Source organism: Homo sapiens, chromosome 2, assembly GCF_000001405.40.
Source record: "Homo sapiens chromosome 2, GRCh38.p14 Primary Assembly".
NCBI classification, from domain to species: domain Eukaryota; kingdom Metazoa; phylum Chordata; class Mammalia; order Primates; family Hominidae; genus Homo; species Homo sapiens.
In genome coordinates, this window is record NC_000002.12 from 2,165,341 (window position 1) to 2,188,682 (window position 23,342).

At 44.1% G+C, this 23,342-nt stretch overlaps 1 protein-coding gene across 32 annotated transcripts in view; it reads right to left on the minus strand.

Moving 5' to 3' along the window:
- Nucleotides 1-23,342, minus strand: part of MYT1L (myelin transcription factor 1 like) — a 542,163-nt gene that overhangs the window by 376,228 nt on the left and 142,593 nt on the right. For 31 of the 32 annotated variants that reach the window (NM_015025.4, NM_001303052.2, XM_011510326.2 and 28 more), the window contains one exon: nucleotides 7,532-7,648. The gene's annotated coding sequence lies outside the window, so the exon portion shown is untranslated. Of the gene's footprint in view, nucleotides 1-7,531; nucleotides 7,649-20,072; nucleotides 20,305-23,342 lie in introns of those variants that run through there. The other variant, XM_011510323.1, reaches the window with a different exon arrangement.

The following is a 23,342-nucleotide window of genomic DNA, read 5'->3' on the forward strand; positions in this document are numbered from 1 at the left end:
CACACACACACACGTGCACACAGGTGACCACAGACATCCACATGCCACACACATTTTCCTGAACCTCACAGACATTGTGGCAAGCTCACACCTAAATATGTCAACATTTATCTTCTAAGAAGAAAACACATTCTCTCACATCACCAATGCGTAATTTCAACAGAAAAGGAAGTTAATATTATTTAAATCATAAAATATACAGAATATTGGGAATATTCACATTTCCCCAACTGTCCATATGTCCTTTATAGCTGTTTTAATGTATAAAACATAACTAGGATATATAAAAGGAAAATAAAGTTTTCCTTTATTATTCTAAAGAATTTCTTCCACAATTGCTGCTGTTTTCTCACGTTGTCATCTCATAGCTGTTTCTTGAATGTTGTATTCAAAAATACTTTTTAGAAATAATTTTGAGATTCTGATCTTTATTATTGAAGAAGTAAATAAGTAATAATAAAATCTTTTATTTTTCTACTTTGTAAATTTTTATTTTTCTACTGTGTAAATCTTTTATTTTTCTACTTTGTAAATAATAAAATCTTTTATTTTTCTACTTTGTAAAAAAATAAAATCTTTTATTTTTCTACTTTGTAAAAAAATAAAATCTTTTATTTTTCTACTTTGTAAAGTTTTAAAGTACAGAATTTTAGAAAGAAGAGCATGCATGAAATATTATGAGAGCTATGGGGAAAACTAAAGTCATTAAAAGGTAATTGTGTTTATTAGGCAGACGTTGTTAACTAGAAAATCCGATAGGAGAATTTCTCCCTCTTCTTATATTTATTTCCTTCCTCGTCTCCTTATTTCCTTTCTTAATTATCTAGCCTGCCTCCCTGTTTTCTTCCTTCCCTCCTCTCTCTCCCACCGTTATAAACTCATGAACCAGCGAGGCTGTTTTGTCTACAGGTCACTCAGATAAGTCCTCATTAAACAGGAAGCCCTCTTCAAACACTCTCCTATGGCCTCCCTCCCAGCCTCCACCACCATCACTGCCATTTTGTTTATCTACTCCTGTCACTTAGCTCTGATCCTATTTAGATTGATACATCTCTATGTTAGCAATAAATATTGAATAAGACTCTACATGCATAACTGTGTATTATAATGAGGGGAGAAGGGGTGGCAATGCATGGGTTTCAGAGTCAGAATTGAAATCCAGAGCTGTTATTCTCTGGCTGCGACCTTGGTCAAGTCATTTAAGCTATGGATCCTCAGTCTCCTTATTTGTAAAACTGCATGAATAATCCCTTTCTACCTAAAACAAAGGGCCAGTGAGGATACATTAGATTGGTTATGGGAAAGTACTCTTTCACGTTTCTTTTAAATTTTGTTTTTTGAATATGAGATACATTTACATCATTCAAAAATAAAGAAACAAATTAAGAAATGAATGAACAAGAACAATGAAAACATTTCCCCTCAACCTGCCTTTCCCTTTAGTAACCCCCACATAAAAACATTTTTTTAGTTTGTCTATCCTATATTTTTTATGCAAATACAAGCAAATACATATGTTTGTGCGAAGTCATAGTTTTGCTTCTCTTCTGCATCCTGCTTTTTTCTTTAACAAAATGTTCTTAAAATCTTTCTGCATGGGTTCAGAGTGCGTCATTTTCCACATAGCTGCATAGTAAGTGAAGGCACTTTGATTGAATAGCATAAAGCATAACACAGATGTAAATCAGGTCACTTCCGCCTCCGTCTTTTATGGCGAGGCAAGTGTGTCTTGGGTTCTTTATGAATAATAATGAGGGTAACCAGGGTTTAAAGGGCTGGTGCTTCTTGCCAGCCGCTGCGCTGCAGGTTTTACAGGCATTAGTGTGTGTAACCCTCAATGACCCTGTGACGTGGGAAACACTCACTGTTTTACATATGAAACCCCCAGGTTTTGAGGGGTGAGTGTAGAATTTGTATATGTTTTCAAAGCTGTACTGTGAAGCCTTTTTGCTCTTCTCCTCTGTTGGACGCAATGATGTCTGAATCCCACCTGGATCTGCACAGCGTTGCTGCACTGTAAGCCCACCACACACACCTTCACCTTCTTCAAACCAAATACCTCTGTCTTCCTGGAGACCCTGAACAACTTCTCCTGGACTCTGTCAACAGCTCCCTGTCCTCCAGGCACTGGCGTTAGCTCCTCCAATCCACACTTCACACTGGGAAATCAAACCCTGTCTCCTCTTTGCTTAAACTCACCCATGGTCTCTCACCATCTACAGAGCTCAACCTAAACTCACCACGCCCACCCTGCCTTCCCTCCCGCTTCCCGCTCCCAAACCTCTGGCCTTTCCTGATGCTGTTACCACATCTGAACTGTGCTTGTCTAAGTCAGAAGACATCCTTGGAGCCAGCCTGGGAGGTAACTCTCCAGCCCTCCACGCCTTCTCCAGGAACACTCAGATTCTCCCCTTTGGGGTGGCTTCATCCTCCTGACTTTGCAGCTCCTTCTCCAGGTGTTCTCTTGTTGTGGTTGTTGTTATACTCTCACCCTTATTAAATGGCTCAACAAGAACAGCTTTTCTGCAGAATTCTCTGATTCCATTTCTATATAACATCTGGCATGTAGTAGTTGACTCAAACATACGTTATATAAATGCATAGGTTGTGTGTATGGATGGGGCATTTCAAATAATTCACTTAACAATGCATTTTATTTTAAAAAAAAATAGGCATTTACTTCATTTAGATATGTGTTAAAATTTTATCCCTTCACTTGCACCTACAAACAACCACAAATGAGAAACTCAAAAAAACAGGTGACTTCACATCGGTGGGATCAGTGTGTGTAGACCTATGAGGCACATGTAGATCTATGAGTAACTCTGCAGAACGGTGTGGGCTCAACAGGAGGAGGAAGCACAGGCATCCCAGAGGCTCCAGGTCAGAGGGATGTGCAGTAAAAAAGACGGAAGTTTGTGTGATGAGGGTGTGCATTGTGTTTCATTTAAAAGAGTACTACGTGTGCATGCTAGGAAGCCAAGTGACAAGTCATAGCCGAACATAAAAAGTAATTCTTTCTGCTACTTTTGACCTTCAGTTAAAAGCACTTGTTAGGTGTGTTGGGGTGCATATGGAAAGTTCTGGATCTTACTTTCACACTTCATACACTTACTGCAGGTCCTTGCACATCAGCTGTTTCTAAATTGTGAGCAAATGAAAACAAGGCTTTACACAGTAAGGTAACGCACTCATCCATTGCTGAGACTGATATTTTTTGGGTGTCTCTACACAATAGACATAGCAAACAATGTGCTGAGAGCTGGGTACACAAATAAGCCACTCTCCACCTTCAGTGCCCCAAGCTCTCCAAATGCTTCAGATGACCCTGAAGTGCTTTGGATAAAAGATGCTGACATGGAGAGTGGTCAGCCCTGAGCGTGTTTTACTCCAAATCCAGAATCAGTGTTCTCGGTTGTTTGTGCTTCTGCTACCTGAGAGCAATTCTCCTTTTTCCAAGAGTTTTTACTTCCAAGAAATAATGGAGGCCAGACCCAACTCAAAACTTTCTAATGCTCAGTCCCGAGGCCCTAGAGCCAGGTGATGCAGTTGGTGGTCTTCACTGGGGAGCTGCTATCTGAAGGGGAACCTGGTACCTCTGTCCACTTCTTATTTTAAAAACAATACAGTTCTGGGAAATTCTAAAACATCTTCTGTGTTTCAAGGACTAAATTTAGTGATTTAGACACTTATAACATGTAATCCTTGTAACAGTTCTATTAAGAAGCAATTATTATGTCCATTTTACTGATGGGGAAACTGAAACTCAGGTTCAAGGAGACAAGCAACTTCTCTGCAGATGATGGGGTAGAATTAGGATTTGTTCTCCAGTCTGACATCCTATAACTTTCTAGGAAATATCTGCTGGACACTGAACTACTTACAGGAACAGCAGACCTTTTCTCTCTAAGCTCCTTGGGCAGTGTGGTAGGAGCACACTCTGCAGGTTGTGTTTCCGCTCTCTCAATCACCTCTTTTGGCTTTTTCTGTAATAATGTATTACCATGTACAATACTACCTTAAAGATACACAGATTCTACCAAGTCATCTCAGTGGAAAATGTCAACTAATACTCTGTGTTTTGGCTAAATCACATATGATACAGATTCACATGCCAAATAAGATTTTTTAAAGTCCGAGGCAAACATAAGGAGGCTTTAAAAACATCTACGGCATCGTTAACATCTTTTTCAGCATTAACCTTTTTATCGAGCTGGTGGCATACAGTCCCCTGCAACCGGAAATCGTTCTCTTTTGTGTTTGGTATTTTATTCTCCATGTTTGCTATGGTTTTTTTTTAAATTCACATGTTTACATTTTTGTTTTGTAGTTGCAGAGGATGTGGGAAAACAGGCCGAATGGAATCCCACCCCACCCGGTTGTGTGGCCTGGTCCTGTCAAGTGGTCACGCCCGGCTCTGCCCCACGGACTGCTGACCGGCATCCCTCACCCTTCCGGGAAGATGTTTTCTTTTGGCTTATGCGCGGTTTTATGGACAGAACTCCCTCTGTATCCAGGCGTGGAAACACCCCTTCCAGTTGGATTTAGTTTGGTTTCACATCCCACACAGTTTTCAGGATGATATTTCTAGTCAGACAGGGTGATACAGGCATAAACGCACTAGAAACATTTTCTCCTCTTGAAATCTTTTGAGTCTCTTGAATTCTGCTCTGATTTCCACAGAGGTGGCAACCTTGCTCTCTTCATCCTTCTTTCAGACTTTGTGGAAGCTTCTGCTAGCTCCACCCTGGGTACCACGCTCACGTATCAGCAAAGGGCTTGCCTGGGAGTAGCACATCTGTGGACAGTAGCTTTAGACTGTCATGCGAGTTTGCAAGGATCTGCTCACCCAGGGAGGAGTCAGGGAACATCTCTCTTCCAAAACTGACTGTGGCTATTTCAGAACTGGGAACTTAAGTCTTCACCATGGGTTGACAAACTCAAGCCCACAGGCCAAATCTGTTCTCTACCGACGCTGTAAATAAGGGTTGACAAACTTAGGCCCACGGGCCAAATCTGTTCTCTACTGATGCTGTAAATAAAGTTTTATTGTCAGGTGGCCATGCCATTTGCTCGCTGTTGCCTGTGGCTCATTTCAGACAGCGGTGGCAGTGATGAGCAGTTGCACGGAGACCACTCCCTCCACAAAGTCTAAAATCATCTCTGGTTCTACAAAAAAATGTTGGCCCACCAGGTCTATGTAACACGATGATTTACAAATTGCCATTTTATAGCTTATTATGTGAAGATGTATTTTCATTAACATAGCAATGTATTCCCATTCTATAATGCTAAATCTATTTATTTCTATGTACTGTTTTACATATATTTCATTCTATCACCCATTTACTAAAGTACTTATGACATACATAGAGAAAATAGATATTGACCATCCCCTGAGAGTCAAACACTAATCTTTAAAAAATGAGAACATGGATAACAAATCCCAGAAATCAGAGGCTCTATGTCTGCGCCCTTCACAGTGTGTGGCTGTCATGGTGACCTTTATGCATTGTTACCATAGCCCCGAAAGTGAGAAATGATTGGTGAGGACTGATGAGGACTGAATGAAGAGAGTGAGGACTGAGTGGAAAGATCGACGTGAAATGCAAGCACTGGTTGTGCGTCTTGCTCTTATTATTATCTAATTGGATCTGGAGGCCCCTGGAGACCTTTGGGTGACAAGCTTGTCTTACACCCAGAAGGGTCTGCTCACCCGGGGCCTGGCTGGAGGGGTCCCGGCGGACACTCCACTGAGGATGGCAGTCTCCAGGGCAAAGCAGGACAGGATTTCAGCTGCTAGAACCTCGAGATCTCTTTTTTCCCCTAACCAAGTCCAACTTGCTCTCCCACCCTGAAAATGGACATCTCTCAAAATCAAAGGTGATGCCTCAGCTGAGAACCCTACTGAAAGCCAAGTATAAACATGGATGTTGCTTGCAAAACCAGCTTACTCTTTCTCCTTGTGGTTTCATTTAATTCTGGGTGAGATTTGTATTTGAATGCTTTATCTCAAACTACATTGAGCATCCTTATTTAAATGTGAACATCTAACTCAATGCCAGAATGCCAGTTCAACAAAGCCACATGTAAACATTACACCCTTATAAAATATTTCACTAAACGTCCTTAACTTATTACTAAAATTCAATGAGATGAGATAAACAAGATAGCTTGGATGTATGAAACACCTACAGTTCAGAAACTTTAACTGCTTCTGAAGCCAAGTATGCATGAACACTCAATGTGAATAGCTTCTTTTGTTTTTTTCTTTTTGTCGTCGTCGTTGTTGTTGTTGTTGTTTTAACCTCGGGGAAATGTACGATTAAACATAATGCCTTCCCCAAACGGAACCAATGAGTGCAGTGAGTTTCTTCAGGGAAAATGAATAGGGTATAGATGAGAAAATAATTAGAACAACTGTGACCTATTACAGCAGTTCATAAAGCTCTCAAAGCCTGCAGCACCCACAAGCTTGCAGCATATGGAAGACAATCCCAGCCTCTAATTTCTGTGCAGTGGTAAGTAGTTCTATTATCAGACAGGCAAATGGGGCGGTCGGCAGACAAATAAATCACAATTGCACAGTGAACCTTAAAATGCACACCACAGCTTTCCTTATAGAGCATGCTGAGAAATTGCCATTTTTACCAGAATTTTCTTCTGCTATTCATCAGAGTAACATATATAAAAGTACTTCTAAATGTGAGTATTGAGAAGATAATACCAGAGTTCCCATTCCATTCACTCGTTCAGAACCAACGACTTTACAGGATCTGAGATTTGGGCCATATTTCAGTCTTGTCGACCTCCAGCCCTAAAAATATGTGCTGCCAGGCAGCAGCCACTAGGTATGCGCCAATCTCTTCCCTCCCCAATCCTCCAAATCAGACCCCACATGCTTTACTAACCAGTTCCTTCTGCTGCAAGTGTAGATTCTGTGTGCAGTGATTCTACATGAGCCATTTCCACGTGAGGGTCATGGGCACCATTCCCTCCCCACTGGCCACCCCGAGGCATCCTCTCAGCACCCACAAGGAGGCTCACATCATTCCTGCCCTATAGAACTTCAGCAGTGATGCCTCATCTAATTTAACTGCAAAGGACTCTTTTTGGCATGAATTGTCTCTTTGGAGAGGATGCGCAATGCAACTTTTAACTGCCTCCCGGAAGCCATGAAGCACCAGGCAGCTAAGATGAAAGTATTTACTCAAAGCAGCAAATGGGACAAGCACCAGAGGAGGGGCTGCCTGCAGCAATCCTGGGAGCCCCGTGCTGGGCAGGAGTACCTGCACTCTGTGGCCAGGAGCCCCGTGCTGGGCAGGGGTACCTGTACTCTGTCGCCAGGAGCCCCGTGCTGGGCAGGGGTACCTGCACTGTCACCAGGAGCCCCTTGCTGGGCAGGGATACCTGTGCTCTGTCGCCAGGAGCCCCTTGCTGGGCAGGGGTACCTGCACTGTGGCCAGAAGCCCCGTGCTGGGCAGGGGCACCTGCACTCTGTCACCAGGAGCCCCGTGCTGGGCAGAGGTACCTGCACTGTTGCCGCGCCGGGTGGGTGATCTCAGGACCTGATATTCTTCCGCCGTCGACCAGGGTTTGAAGATGCCCACTGGATAGGAATTCACCAATTCTCCTCTGAGTTCATTTTCTAAAGGATAGAGCGACAACACAAAATACCTTAAGTAAGAGAAGGGAGGAGGGCATAAGGAGGGTTTGTTCCCCTGTGCTGTGACACTCACAACAGCTACATTTCAAGATAGGTAACTGCACCTTGAGAAGATGTGTAAATAATTTTACTCAGAAACCTTGTTATATAAACTCTAATAATGGCTAACTAGAAGTACTTTTTACACATTTAGTTAATTTACTTTGAAACCTAAGATATTGAGGAGTTTTAAATACATGTCCTAGGTTTGAAGGTAAAACCATATGCACTTAATATTTAGGTTGAGCCATTACTGGCCCATTTCTCAGATGATTGCTTCTTTAACGCTTTGATGTAATTAGAAAACAATTTAATAGGGGAGAAATATTTTGCATGTTTATTTTTTGGAAATAATAGAATTTCATTCATAAGAAAATATAGTTTGCTGATGACAAGGCCACTTCCAAATGTCAGCTCAACTTTATCTTACTATCACAACAACAAAAGAAATTACCTTCATTAATGGAAATGTAGAAATTATTAACTTTCTATCATGTTTTTCTGCAATGTTATCTCAGTATTAGAAACCATTGACTGTTTTAATTTGAAGAAGAAATATCCATATTATTTCAAAGTCTACTATCAAAGAGAGAATTTATTTTGTTAAACAAAATGATGAGCTAGAAAATCAGAAAGTGAGAGGGTGATGCCTCAGTTAGGGAAGCCATTGTTTCTGGTGCAAACCTCCTAATTCCAAGAGGCTTATTAAAGTGCGTCTATGGCAATAACAGACAAGTGTTAATGGGCCTCAGTGAAGTGTGTCAGGAGAACGAAGAGACCCTGAGGGGCTCCCCATGCTGTTTATGAGCAGCTAGATGCAGCAGCATTACCATAAATCCTCTAACAGATACTGTACTTCCCGCCTGTAATAAGATGATAGCCAGAGTGCTTAGCAAGTGGAACTTGAAATAAGATAACACAAGATTTCCTAGGAAACACAAAGGCAGCCAATAAAATGCAACCATAACAATTATTATTATTTCCCCTAATAAGAATTTACTAAAACAAACACATAAAGAACAAAATAATGCCAAAATAGATACATGGAGCTAGAGAGGTTTTAAAATTACCCTGAAAAATCAAGGTTCAAAATTTGAATGAGAGTTAGCGTATTCGTTTTGTTGCAAAGTCTACAGATATCAGTTTGGAGTTATTTTGTAACATTTAAAAATATACACTTAGCTTTTAATACAAATTATAATTTGGGGTTTTATTTATAGCAGTGCACAGCTATCTACACTGGAAAATCTCTGATAACAATGGTGTGTTTTATGGCTTTTTCTCAACACCCACATAGTATAAATGCAAGGAATTCTTGCAGTTTCTTCCTCAGGCAAATGCCCCTGAAACATTTTTGCATCAGACATACCACCTTGAAATCATCTACAAAGATTCAGGAGCATTCACCCTGGACAAACAATGGCTTCTTTTACCTAGGTTTGCACTCTGACCATTAATGCTCACAATTCAGACCCACGTCCTTGTGAGACAGAGACAGACGTGACAGCGCATGTGGAGACTCCCTCCCAGACAACGCAGTTTGATGAGGATGAATGTGCGCTTAGTGGGTACTCACTGTGAGGTGGCCTCTTTTATTTTGACCTTTTTAACTGGGTCCCTACTTCCTCAATCAGATTATACTAAGGCAACTAGCATATAAACTTGACATTATTGATACTGACATAATATTATGATTTAAAAATATAACTATTCATCAAATGTTATTGATTGTATGGACTGTCATTACTGCTGGGTTAGCAAGACCCATCTCAGCCAATCTTGGTGTGAACATTTGTTGAGTGAATAAATCTCTCTGAAGTTCAGGTTCTGTATCTGACAACAGCAGGGCTAGGCTAAAAGTTTAAATCTGTTTTTTAGCACCAAATGCTTTAAGTAAGAATCCCACTGCTGTGGCACCTGATATGAATCCCCAGGCAGCAAGTGAGCCATGAGTAGAGAAGTGTGGTGCTCTCCTTGTGAGGCTCACTCAGACCTCCTTTCTATGTGTGTTGTATGTTGAGTGTGAATTCGTAGCTTTGAGTCTTGGCTCAGTGGTTTCGGGAATTATCATGCAAATGTCCTCTCTGAGAAGGGCCTCCACCGTGGGGCACTGCTGAAGGAAGGAAGAACCAAGCCTGTCTTCCTCCACCCTCTCTTGCCAGGGCGGTGCCCACCACCCCTGTGGGACACAGATGGAAAGAAGCCAGCTCCTGGTGACTTTTCCTGGAGGTATCAGCATCTGAGGTGCACATATTCTTTCCTGCTATCATTGCTTTTCTAAGATTTCTTGTCAAGAAGACCTTTTGTTTAGCTAAGTGTTGCTGAAACGGCAGTGCCTGTGCCTGTCTGGTAACCTGAATCACACCTGTAGGATTAGCTACTAGTGGAAATGGGTCACGCTCTTTGTTTTTCACCCTAAAAGCTCCGTGTGAGATTGGTTAAAAGATGAGAGCTACACGTTGATAGTGCTTCTTTCTCAGACGTATAACACTGAACAGCAAGAACCAGACAAATGCCTGACAAAAGCCCACCTCAGACACCACCGTAAGGAGAAGGCGAAACCATCCTCTGTGAACTGAGTTTCAGAGGAGCCTCTGCAAGGCAAGGATGCCCGAGCCTGGTTTTACATACTTTCCTGGACCCTTGCCTCGATACTGTCTGAACAGGAAAACTGCTTTAAGGTTTTCTGTGTCCTTCAGCAATCAAATTTGGGATCCATAATGGCTGGAGAGGACAGCACATCACAGCAGCAGGGCTGGAGGGCAGTCCTGGCCGCCTGTCCCCATTGTGATTGGCAGGTGCATCTCCAGCTCTTCCGCCTGTTTCTGTAGCTCATCTCTACTGACTAACAGCCGTAGGAGCTCCTTGCTCGGGGGCTGGGTTGAGATGAATAAGCTGCCTGTACTATGGAGTACATAGCAGGTTCTCCATTAGCCTTTCCTGGCTGAATAAGGAGCTTGTTTCCTTTGTACCAAGTTAAACGGATTTCAGTTAGCTCACTGCGTTGCTCACAGCCTTTGCATTAGGCTGTGCTCATGAGACAGTCACTCAGCTTCTAGTTGGAGATGAGATTTAGGATATGTCCACTTTCAGTTTTTCAGAGAAAAGAAAGAAATGGTCATTTTCAGAAGATAATAATGACCATATAGACAATGAAAAGGAAATATATAATCAAATAATTAAATAAATAGGGACATCTTAATAAGAAAAAGTAGGAAATCAGGAAAAGAATGTACAGCCAGTTTTAAAATCACCCTTCTCGTTTTTAAACACTCATGTACCCTTTGCTTTAAGTCTAGGTCAGTTACATATTTGTGGGATGGCTTCAATTATTTGGAACATTGGAAAGTATTTTTGGCAATTAAAAAGGTTCGGGTCTACCTCCCATACACGGACATTCCCATCTCAGTTTTTGCCGTAGATCACCTGTGCAATATCAATATTTAGGACATAACTTTTTTTTTTTTTTTTTGAGGTGGAGTTTTGCTCGTCACCCAGGCTGGAGTGCAGTGGCACGATCTTGGCTCACTGCAAGCTCCACCTCCTGTGTTCAAGTGATTCTCCTGCTTCAACCTCCCTAGTAGCTGAGATTACAGGTGCTCACCCAGACACCCAGCTAATTTTTATAGTTTTAGTAGAGACGGGGTTTCACCATGTTGGCCAGGCTGGTCTCAAACTCCTGACCTTAAGTGATCTGCCTGCCTCGGCCTCCCAAAGTGCTGGGATTACAGGCATGAATCACCATGCCTGGCCTAGAATATAACCTTAATTTCAACTTCTAAGTAAGACACCACTGATTCCAACATGTCAACTAACCACATAAAAGGACACCAGCAAATGCAATTTGTAACCTGGAAGTATGTATAGATAAAGACATCACATGAATAATCTATCCTCTAGTTTACTAGCTATTCTTAGACATGTACCTAAAGCCACAATTGCATTGTTTCACAAAACTAACACTGAAGTGGAAACAGGTTTGTTTCCCACTGTGGCTCAGAGAGGGCCGGTAGCACTCCCACTGCTGAGGAAGGGGATGAGAGCCTTCCCCGTCTGCTGTGTAGCGGGGACGATGTCGTCAACAGGACTGTCACACAGGTTTGCGTGGATGTAAATGGAACAACCTTGTTGTGTCGGGAATTTGGCAGTGTGAATGAAAATTTTCAATGTGCATATGCTAGCCTGACAATTCCAGTTCCTGGTATCTACCAAATATATATTTAGTCACACATATGCATAGATACCTGCATAAAATGTTTCAATGCAATATTGTGTATAATCAAAACTCTTCAGTGATAGAATGGTTAGATTATTTGTGGTAAATAGGCAATCTAAGACTGACCTATAAGCACTGACAAGGCAGAATCCTTAAGATGTGTAGCAAAGTGACTAGAGGATGGTACAGGGAAGCATACACAGTGTAACCTGTTCACATACGACAACCTAGAACCTAGGGTGTATTCGTCTGTTCTCACACTGCTAGAAAGAACTGCCTGAGACTCGGCAGTTTACAAAGGAAAGAGGTTTAAATGACTCACAGCTCCACATGGCTGGGAAGGCCTCAGGAAACTTACAATCATGGCAGAGGTGAAGCAGGCACATGGTACATGGTGGCAGGTGAAAGAGAGAATTTGAGAGAATCCAGGGAAAACTGCCTTATAAAACCATCAGATCTTATGAGAACTCACTCACTATCATGAGAACAGCATGGGGTAGGGGTAAACCACCCCCACGATCCAATCACCTCCCACCAGGTTCCTCCCCAACCCCTGGGGCTTCCAATTCAAGATAAGATTTGGGTGGGGACACAGAGCCTAATCATATAATAGGGGCATGTCTTATATTTACATGTGCATGTGTGTGAATACAGAGGAAGATGCCAGTGTGGACACAGACCCAGTGGATAGCTGAGATGATCTTTGGAGACAGGAGTAGGGTTGTGACAACTAAGAAAAACTTTCACTTTTTACTGCAAATACTTCTAATTGTTTATTTCATATATATACTGTTTATTTATAAATAGATAAAATATTTATTTTATATAAACAGACTGTAATAATTTACTTGATTGCCAAAGAAAATCCATGTAACATTTATGTAACAAAATAAACTGAAAAATTTAATGATTTATCTATTAGTATTTTCAAAAGATATGTGTCAATTATTATAAAAAATGACTAATAAATTTAGGTTAGAAATTTACACTCCCAAAGTCACGTAATACTTGTAAGCAACTTGCACTCCCCAGACCCCCAAGCCATTTGCTGCTTTACAATATAGTTGAAGACAGGCCCTGGGATGCACTGGCTGTCTACAAACCAATAAACAATGTGGCAAGGACATCACATTTGTGGCTGATTAGATCATTCTAGCTCATTAAAAAACCTTCTTCCATGTTAAGCAAAATGATATAGAAGAGCAAAGAAAAATAGAGGCAATTAGAACAAAGGCGGATTGGTGCCGTGTCAGAACACAGAAGGTTGTCTGGTACCCTCGCCCTCCTTCCTTCTGCAGGAAGGTGTTGGTGAGGTGGGCCTTTGGGGCTCTCTCTGTCCCCTCAGGGTCTGCTGTTTGCCTGCAGCCCACTCATGGATAGTGAGGACTTATCACCAAGGCAGACCCAGCAAGAAACACACTTGGTAGAATGGCTTTTGGCATTGTTGAATATCAGCAGTGAAAGCAATCGTAAGGATAGTGCAGCCTGCCTCTTCATTTTTAGATTTGGTCATTGAAGTCCAGAAACCCTAACGAACCTGTACAGGGTCAAAAGAGAAGTGAGCAGAAGGCCCAGGACAGGGTGACAGGTATGCAGTCCCCATCACTCCTTTCTCCAACAAAGTGAAAAGTAGTTTAAGGAAATCTAAGATTTAATTGCAGTGAATTTTATTAATAACAAGCTTTAGTCTTCAGGGCACACGGGAGAAGACGTTTCCATGGGGCTTAGAAAAAGTGAGGAATAGCATTAACCAAAGAGCAGTAACTGGGTTCTGCCATTCACATCTTACAGGCAATACCTGCTCTGGGAGCCCTTGAGCATAGGAACCTGGGGTACTGCGAACGAACACCCAATGCCCCCACACACATCCCTGGCCAGCAGCTGTAGGACATGGCCAAGGAAGTGGCTCATCCATCCACAGAGCTTTCAAGGCTTGCAGGTGCCTTCTGAATTTTGGAGAACCCAGTGGTTCTGCATCTCATTGAATCCAAAGCTTCCCAAGAGGCAAATGCCCAGATAAATCCCAGTCAGAGGACTCAGGCATAGCCCTGCCTTCCTTTCTTTCCTGGGAAGCCCCTAGGCTCAGATACTGAGTTCTGAGTTAGCTTAGATGAGTTCACTTCACCCTCCCTACCAGACCCCGAAACCTGTTCCTCCTCCCTTCACGCTGAGAGTGGAATCTCTAAGAACATGCCTCTGTTGTGGATGCCTCTGACCAAGAATAAGTCCACATAGTGACCATGATTTGTATTATTATCGTTATCATGACAACACCTTACACGTGTATTCCAATTTAAAGTTAAAAGTTATTTCACACACAAACACGTAAAGGAGGTAGAATTATGCCTGTTTTACAGATGAGGAATCCCAAGTTCCACAAGCATTGCTTTAGTGAGTGAGGAACAGTAGGAATCGGAGCTGGAACTAAAAGCACGCACTGTAGCCTGGTTCCTAGGTCTCCCGAAGCTTGGTGACATGTTATTTCTCAATTCCTAAGACTTACCACCACCTTATGTGACCTTTAGTTTAAGCTGCTTTGTCCTCTCCATGTTCCTCAAATATAAACTATACTTCCTCACTTTGGTTCACACCATGCCTCTCTTTATGCACATCTCAAAGATTTACCAGCCTTCACATCAAATCCCATCATTTCTCTACTCAAAGACTTTTAGATCATTCTGGCCCTCAGGAGGAGGCTGTTCCTCTGAATGATCAATGAGGTCATCCTCTCGCTGATCCGTTCATACCTTCACACACTGTTTCACACAGCCAGCCAGTGATTCCACTGTTTGCCCACTTCTGCTAATGCCACTGTTGTTATCAAAGAAACTAGGGTGCTTGAAGATGGGGATTGCACCTGTTCATTTTTGTATTACCAGGGGCCAGAGGAGAGAGAATCCATTAAATGAATGAATTGAATAACAATAATGATAATAGAGTTCACTTCACCCTCCTTCCAAGCCCCCCAAGGAACTCATGGCTCCTTGAGAGTACAGAAGATGTTTATTACTTGGTGAATTCTTCATTTGTTTAGCATAGTCCTTAGCACATAATATGTACTCTCAAATAATTACTAATCAAATGGAAAAACATAAGCTCTTAAAAAAAAAAAAAACAACAACCTGTATCAGGAAAGAAGACGAGAGAGCAAGTGATCATTTGAATCAGTGGTGCTACCTTAGGAGTGAGTGCAAGTGGCAGAGAGACAACTCGATGTGGGTGTGTGGAAACTGTGCCTGAAGGTGTATGCGAACCTGTGTGTGTACCTGTGTGTGCACCTGTATCTGTACCTGTGTGGGCCCGTGTGTGTACCTGTGTGTGCGCCTATGTGTGTACCTGTGTGTGTGCTTATGTACCTGTGTGTAGCTGTGTGTGCACCTGTATCTGTACCTGTGTATGCCTGTGTGTGCACCTGTGTGTTTTTGTATGTACCTGTATGTGCACCTGTATCTGTACCTGTGTGCCTGCATGTGTGCCTGTGTGTGTGCTTGTGCATGTACCTGTACCTGTATTTGTACCTGTGTGTGCCTGTGTGTGCACCTGTATCCATACCTGTGTGTACCTGTGTGTGCACCTATATCTGTACCTGTGTATGCCTGTGTGTGCACCTGTATCCGTACCTGTGTGTGTACCTCTGTGCTTGTGTATGTACCTGTGTGTGCACCTGTATCTGTACCTGCATGTGCCTGTGTGTGCACCTGTAACCGTACCTGTGTGTGTACCTGTGTGTGCTTGTGTATGTACCTGTGTGTGCACCTGTATCTGTACCTGCATGTGCCTGTGTGTGCACCTGTAACCGTACCTGTGTGTGTGCTTGTGTATGTACCTGTGTACCTGTGTGTGAACATGTATCTGTACCTGTGTGCCTGTGTACCTGTGTCTGTGCCTGAGTATGTACCTGTGTGTGCACATGTATCTGTACCTATGATCTATGTGTGCCGTGTACCTGTGTTTGTGCCTGTGTGTGTACCTGTGTATATCTGTGTGTGCACATGTATCTGTACCTGTGTGTACCCGTGTGCGTGCACCTGTGTGTGTACCTATGTGTCTGTGAAGTGAGACTGAAAACATGAGAGTCTACCTGGCTCTCTGTTGTCTCTGACACACAGAAACTTCATGAATGAAATCATGTTACTGATTGCTAGCTGAACTCTCCTCAATTTTCAGAGAGTCCTTGGGAAGAAAATCAGAATTCTAGCAGTAAGCCCCGCTCTTAAAATATATAGAAATTACCGTCTGTCAGAGGCTGTGGATGCAGAGTGTGATTTAAATGTGCTATGAGTTTAACTTAAAGCACAGCCACACATTTCAACTAGAAAATCCTAATGGTAGGGGCATGAGTGTACTTAAGGCCCTTCATCTGTGACAGAGTTGACCACGTGGAAGCGCTTTGTCTTCCCGGATGCAGTGCCAAGGACTGGGGGTGCTCCCCTGCTCTCTAAACCTGCAGCCTTTTCCTTCACACAGCAACCACAGGAGGGTGCATGCCGAGAAGTGAGATTCATCTGCATAAATACATCCTCCAACTAACTGCTTCCAAGTGAGAGAAAAAGGACTTTCCACGTTCCAGCACTTCCATGCTCATTATTTCATTTGATCCTCAGAACAACCCTGAGAATAGGCAACCGAGATATTATTAGCTCTATTTTCAGAGAGAAACTGAGGTTCAGAAAGGTAGCTTGCCTGAGGTCACAGAGCTGGGATGGGGACCCAGGTTTCCAGGCTGGACATTGACAAGTGTCCACCCTGGCAGTCACCTCCCAACTCCCATATGTAACAAGCTTTCAGAGCAAAAATGAATGGCATGCCCCACTCTGACTACACTGTGTCTTGGAACCATGGCCACGGACAGCACGCCCCACTCTGACCGCACTGTGTCTTGGAACTGTGGCCACGGACAGCACGCCCCACTCTGACCGCACTGTGTCTTGGAACTGTGGCCATGGAGAGGTGACCTCCTCTCTGCAGGATCTGATTTCAGTGGCTTAGGAAGGGCCTGTCCTCCAGATTGTTAGAACAGTACCCATGCCAATCGCTGAAACCCTTCCATTGGAAATCCAGTTACTTGAACACTTTTTTAAAAGAATTTACCTTTATAAGTGCAAATGATTCTGGGCTAGCTGATATTTTGAGTCACTATTGATTAAAAAGATATTAATTTTTCATGGAACAAGGAAGATGTTTGCAATAGTATGGCCAGCATCTATCCTCATTCTCTGTCCCTCTCTCACACCCATGTACCCCCCACACTCTTTCTCTCTCATTTTCAGTCTGTATTTCACAAGGAAGAAAGCCAGACAGTAGCAATTGCCTGGATTTGGATGGAGGATTTAGGGAGGGCTGGAGGCTTAGAAGCAGGCATTGCGTCGGTTTTTCAAAGCACAGCATGCGCTTTGCAGCTAACCAGAAAGGCATGCTCTCTTTTTCATTTGGCCACTGTTTGTTGTGGATGTCTCCCTTTGGGTTTTGGGGAAGGAGCAGTGGTTTGGGAATTGCTGGCTTCCTACCAAACACCACCAAAGAGCAGTGCAGTCCCAGCGCGGCCCACAATGGCAGGGACTGAGATGGATAAACATCACAGTAGATAAAGACTCGCACAGCCTGGGCCTCCAGGCAGGACAGAGTTGCAGGGGAGAGAAGGAGGGAGGTCATCGCTTCTCCTCTAAGTAAGGAAGGCTGCAACAGGGATGCCCACAGTGCTCAGGGTTACGCAGAGGTGAGCGGACTCTGCCACAGAGGTGGGGAGGTTTTCCGAGGAGCAGCAGCTGAGCTTTGAGAAGGTCATGTCATCAGGCTATGGATGGTGAGTCACAGAGGGAGATCTCCTGGACAGAAAACAGTAACACAAAAAGCATGGAGCAGTTGGAGGGAAGGGTGTGTTTGGATGGTAAGTCCTGGGGGAGCCTGAATTGTATCCCTCAGGACCCAGCGAACCTCCTGGCCTCCCCTAGAGTAGTGAAGAGCCAGGTTGCTGTTTTAGAACAGAGAGGAGGGGAAGAGACAGAGAGGAACGAACCTGGGGGAAGTAGACCACGAGAGAGCTGCTGGGGTGAAGCCTGGTCACAGAGAGGCTGCTCACCTCTGTGCAGGGAGAATAAGTTCCCACGGGAGGGGAGGAGAGAAAGGGTGGGGCCAGGCGGTAGGAAGAGAGAAGGAGCCTGGAACCAAGCCATCCTGTTTCCTAAAGCTTGCTTTGTTTCCATGACTCTAGAAGCAGTATAAAAGAAACATCCTTCCAGTGCACAAAGCTTGCAAGAGAGTAATATTATGAATGTTTGAAATCATGCTGTACTTGATGGCCCTGTAAGGTAATGATGAGGTTCTCAGTGTGATGAGGTAGAGATCCATATTTTAGCACATATTCTTCATAGTTGCAGCTCTCTGTAAAAGTTATCAGCATATGACAATTCAGAATCCCACATGTAGTTTCTTGCAAACTATATACTAGAAAAAATACTTTGGAGATATAACTAAAAGAAGGAAGGAAGGGAGGGAGGGAAGGAGGGAGAGGAAGGAAGGAAGGAGAGGAGGGAAGAAAAAAGGAAGGAAGGAGAGAGACAAAGGAAGAAAAAAGGAAGGAAGGAAGGAGAGGAGGGAAGGAAAAAGGAAGGAAGGAAGGAGAGAGACAAAGGAAGAAAAAAGGAAGGAAGGAAGGAGAGAGAGGAAGGAAGAAAAAAGGAAGGAAGGAAGAAAGGGAGGGAGGGAAGAAGAGAAAGAAAGAGAGAGAGAAAGGGGGAGGGAGAAAGAGAAAGAGAGAAAGAAAGACAGAAAGAGAGAAAAAGAAAAAGAAAGAAAGAAAAAAGGGGAGAGAGAAACAGAGAGAGGGAGGGAGGGAAAGAAAAGAAGGGAAGGAGGTAGATGGCTTGAATAATGTAGGTCATGCTGAGGCTGTTCACAATTTTAAACGTCTAAAAAACACAGCTGATATCTACCTAGAAGGAATCACTAATAAATCATACTGTTTCAATATTATCTAAATATATTCTTATTAATGACATACAAAGTAATAAATACATTACAGTGTTAATGCATGTGTGTGTTCAAGAGAAACAAGTAGAAAGTAAACACAAGACAGAGTTCGTCCCTGTAGATTCCACAGTGAAAATGTGCAGCGCCCATAAAGGTTGGGACAGAACGGACGAAGGCCCTCAGTGCTTCCAATCCACTGACGTTTATTTTCAGGCAAAGGCCCATTTTAAATACTTTCTATCAATGTTAAAATGATGAGTTTAATGTGTCAAAGTAGCATGCTTTTAAAAATTGGGGATTTTTTTCATGGGATGATTTCATCAAGTAAAAATCTCCAGGCAAAAATATCCTACACTCCAATTTGCCCAACCTCCTCTGTCCAAACAAAGGAATAACACTCATCTGAGCAAGACCTCCTCTTCCCGCCTAAGCCTCCCCGCACCGCACGCCCACCAATGGGCTGGCGGCCTCTCCAGCAGAGCCGGCAGATTTCCCCAGCTGTGGGAGGAAAGCTCTGTTCTCTTCCTGTGATGATATAAGCCTCTCCTCATCCGTCAGCTTCAGTTGTAGGAGAGACTCCTGCCTAAATCGGTGGTTGGGGTTGGCTTGAGGTTTCCAGCTACCCAGAAAGGGACCCGCCAAGAGAGGCCGCAGCTCGGCACTTTAGCTGGCAACTGTGCAAAGCTCCACCCCATGAGTAGTTGCATTGCTTCGGGTAAGCTTCGCCACCTCTCTGGCCTTTACTTTTGTCATCTCTGAAATGCAAATAGTAATTGCGTCTACTTTAGAAGGCTTGTCAGAGGATCCACTGAGACAGCACAGCTCCTGCATTTAGAAAATGCCCTCATGCTGCAAACCTTCCAGTCACCAGCCAGCAACTCTTCCATATCCATCCAATAACTCTCTGTTCTGCACCTAATAAGCATTCCACTCTTATATACAAGCCTCCTTATAAAAGGCCTAGACTTAAAAATAATAATAATAGCAAACACATTGAAGGTAAATGGGAATGAGGGCACTTTCAACACACAAAGCTTATATAACATATTTGTGCTATTTAATTAAAATGTAACTAGTCATTCAGTACTGTGTGGTTTTTGTTACTTCCTTGTATTTTAATAGCTCTGTTCAAATATGAGTAACTCACCACAAATTGTGTGGCGTGCAAACTAATATATTCACCTGATTGGCCTCCACACGTGAGGGGGACGCAGCCGGGCCTCCTCGAGTCCCGCGTTCCTTCTGTGAGGGGGACGCAGCCAGGCCTTCCGGGCCTTCCCGAGTCCCGCGTTCCTTCTGTGAGGCGGACGCAGCCGGGCCTCCTCGAGTCCCGCGTTCCTTCCGTGAGGGGGACGCAGCCAGGCCTTCCGGGCCTTCCCGAGTCCCGCGTTCCTTCTGTGAGGCGGACGCAGCCGGGCCTCCCAGACGCCCGCGTTCCTTACGTGAGGGGGACGCAGCCGGGCCTTCCGGGCCTTCCCGAGTCCCGCGTTCCTTACGTGAGGCGGACGCAGCCGGGCCTCCCAGACGCCCGCGTTCCTTACGTGAGGGGGACGCAGCCGGGCCTTCCGGGCCTTCCGGGCCTTCCCGAGTCCCGCGTTCCTTCTGTGAGGGGGACGCAGCCGGGCCTCCCAGACGCCCGCGTTCCTTACGTGAGGGGGACGCAGCCGGGCCTTCCGGGCCTTCCCAAGTCCCGCGTTCCTTCTGTGAGGCGGACGCAGCCGGGCCTCCCAGACGTCCGCGTTCCTTCCTTGAGGGGGACGCAGCCAGGCCTTCCGGGCCTTCCCGAGTCCCGCGTTCCTTCCGTGAGGCGGACGCAGCCGGGCCTCCCAGACGCCCGCGTTCCTTCCGTGAGGGGGACGCAGCCAGGCCTTCCGGGCCTTCCGGAGTCCCGCGTTCCTTCCGTGAGGGGGACGCAGCCGGGCCTCCCAGACGCCCGCGTTCCTTACGTGAGGGGGACGCAGCCAGGCCTTCCGGGCCTTCCCGAGTCCCGCGTTCCTTACGTGAGGGGGACGCAGCCAGGCCTTCCGGGCCTTCCCGAGTCCCGCGTTCCTTTCGTGAGGGGGACGTAGCCGGGCCTCCCCGAGTTCCGCGGTCATTATGTGAGGGGGACGCAGCCGGGCCTTCCCGAGTCCTGCGGTCCTTACTGGTTAACTGTAGTCCCGCACTGTTAATGTTTTTCGTTTTTTGAAGCCAAGATAGCGTGCTCACCGCAAAAGAAATATGGACCTCGATGAACAGATAATAGGGAGAATCTCATGCACCCATCCTGGAATTACGTTTTTAGCTTTGCCCCCATCACTACCATTGGAGGGAAGCAGCTTCTGCGAGAGGCATTTGTAAAGTCTCCATGTCTCCCCAAGAAGTCACGTTCTGCAGACCCGTCAACCATCCCATGTCCCGCCACTCCCTCTAGTAAATAAGGATCCTTGGGTTTTTCTGGATGCCTACACTTACTAACTCTTGACCCAATTTTTGCATAAGCATCGCAGAATCAAAAATCTATAATTAACAGATTGTTATAAAATTCTACAACGAATAAACTCTTAAATTCCAATTCGAAAATATTGTAAACTTTGCATTATAAATTAACATGAGTGTCTGTAGCAAGGTTAAGATCAATTTATAATGTAACCTAATCTTCACCTTGGTCTTTATTGGCACTGATTTAAAAAGATCTGTGTGCAATATCATCTTCTGAAGATAAGTTCCTTTCATTTATTTCTATTTGCTCTGATCCTCCTTTTGGAAAACAAAATAAAGAATTTTTTTCTAAAAAAGGTATGATCGAAACTTGGCCTTAATGAACTTAAACAGCAATTCATCCTCACACAATCCAGTCTTTATGGATTGCAGGCCTAGGGTAAGCAGGTTGCAGGCACAGTGAGTGACAGACAAGCAAATGTCAGAGGAGATGCTCTTATATTTGGTCGTGGGCTCCCTCTTCCACCGAGGCCTTTCCTAAATCTGCCTTTGATGAGCTTCCCCCAGCCATCAGCTCTGTCCGTTCCCTCTGGAGCTGCACAGAAAGTGCTTCATGGAAATGTCATCTGCCAGGACAGCAATTACTGGCACTCCAGCAATCACGGGCACAATGCAGAGTGGGTCGAATTCAGGTGAGAGCGAGAACCCACAATCAAGCCCGGGGAAGGAGAACAAAGCCATTTTCTTTCATTCGCCGTCAACACAACCATCAGGCCTTAATTACACGGCGCGTGCGGGGCTGGCTGCTGAAAGGCATGTTATTACCCAGCTTAGTTCCAAATCAGCTCAGTATTGATGAGCGGCAGAGGGAGGAAGCCAGCCTCGCCCCCGTGGAAAGGAACAGGCACCAAACAAGCAGATGAGTGGCAGAAGGGGGCACACTCCAGGGAATTAAAAAATAATTTTAGAAGGGAGGGAGGGACCTGGTACCTAAACGCTGGCTAAAAATACGTTTCCAGAGGCCCATTGCATTCATGGCTGAATTCAACACAGGTATACCTACTTCAGCCTGGGCTGTTTAGTTGGCCAATATATCTTACTGGATAAGTTCTTGAAGCTGTTATTCTCTGCTCACAGCATTTCCCAAAGGCTCCCACAAGTCTCAATACACCTATGAGTACATTCTTTGTTCTTATCCCCAATTCTTTTTAAGCAATTTAAGAACATTCTGAAAAAAAGTTCTCAGATTATCCCTCTCTCTCCATATATATAATAAACATGTATGCATTTATCATTTATATTCTCTTATATTAAATATATATGCATATTTGCCTCTGTCTACCTTAAAATAACAAATGTTCAGTGCAAAATATTTTTTAGAGATTGGCATAATAACACTTAATGGCAAGCTCTAACATCTTTGAATAAAGCCTCTACAGTAAAAATAAATGGTTCATTTACTACTAAAAATTACACACACAAATGCATGCACACACACATACACTTCCTTCCCATGGCAAAACACCTATATTTGTGTATGAACCTAACACAAAAAGGCATATTACTCAGTATTACCGAAAGTTAATGGTAATATTGACAAACCCAAAACAACATGAATTCGGAACTGTTTTGTTTAGAATTCTAAAAACGATTCTGCTATTTGGTGGGGTGCTATGCACCTGGATGTGGAATTAAGAGGTGCATCTCCTTTCAAGCTGGGGGAACACACACTGCCAATCCCCCAAGCTGAGCTTTGATGGATGCACGAACTTACCAGCAGGCACACGCTCACGCCGATAGGAGCCGTGCACAAGCGTGTGCAGTGCTTAATGCCAAATTATGTCATTTAAGGGACCTTTACATTTCCTAATCTATTTAAAATGGCCTAGAAAATAAGTCCTGATCTGTGTGCCTGGGCTAGGTCTATTAAGAGTCAGACAGACGGCATAATGAAAGCCAGGGTGCAGCCCTAATAGGAAATCCAATGTTCTGTGTATTCCCTTCCTCTCCCTTTTTTGCCCAGGCTTTAGA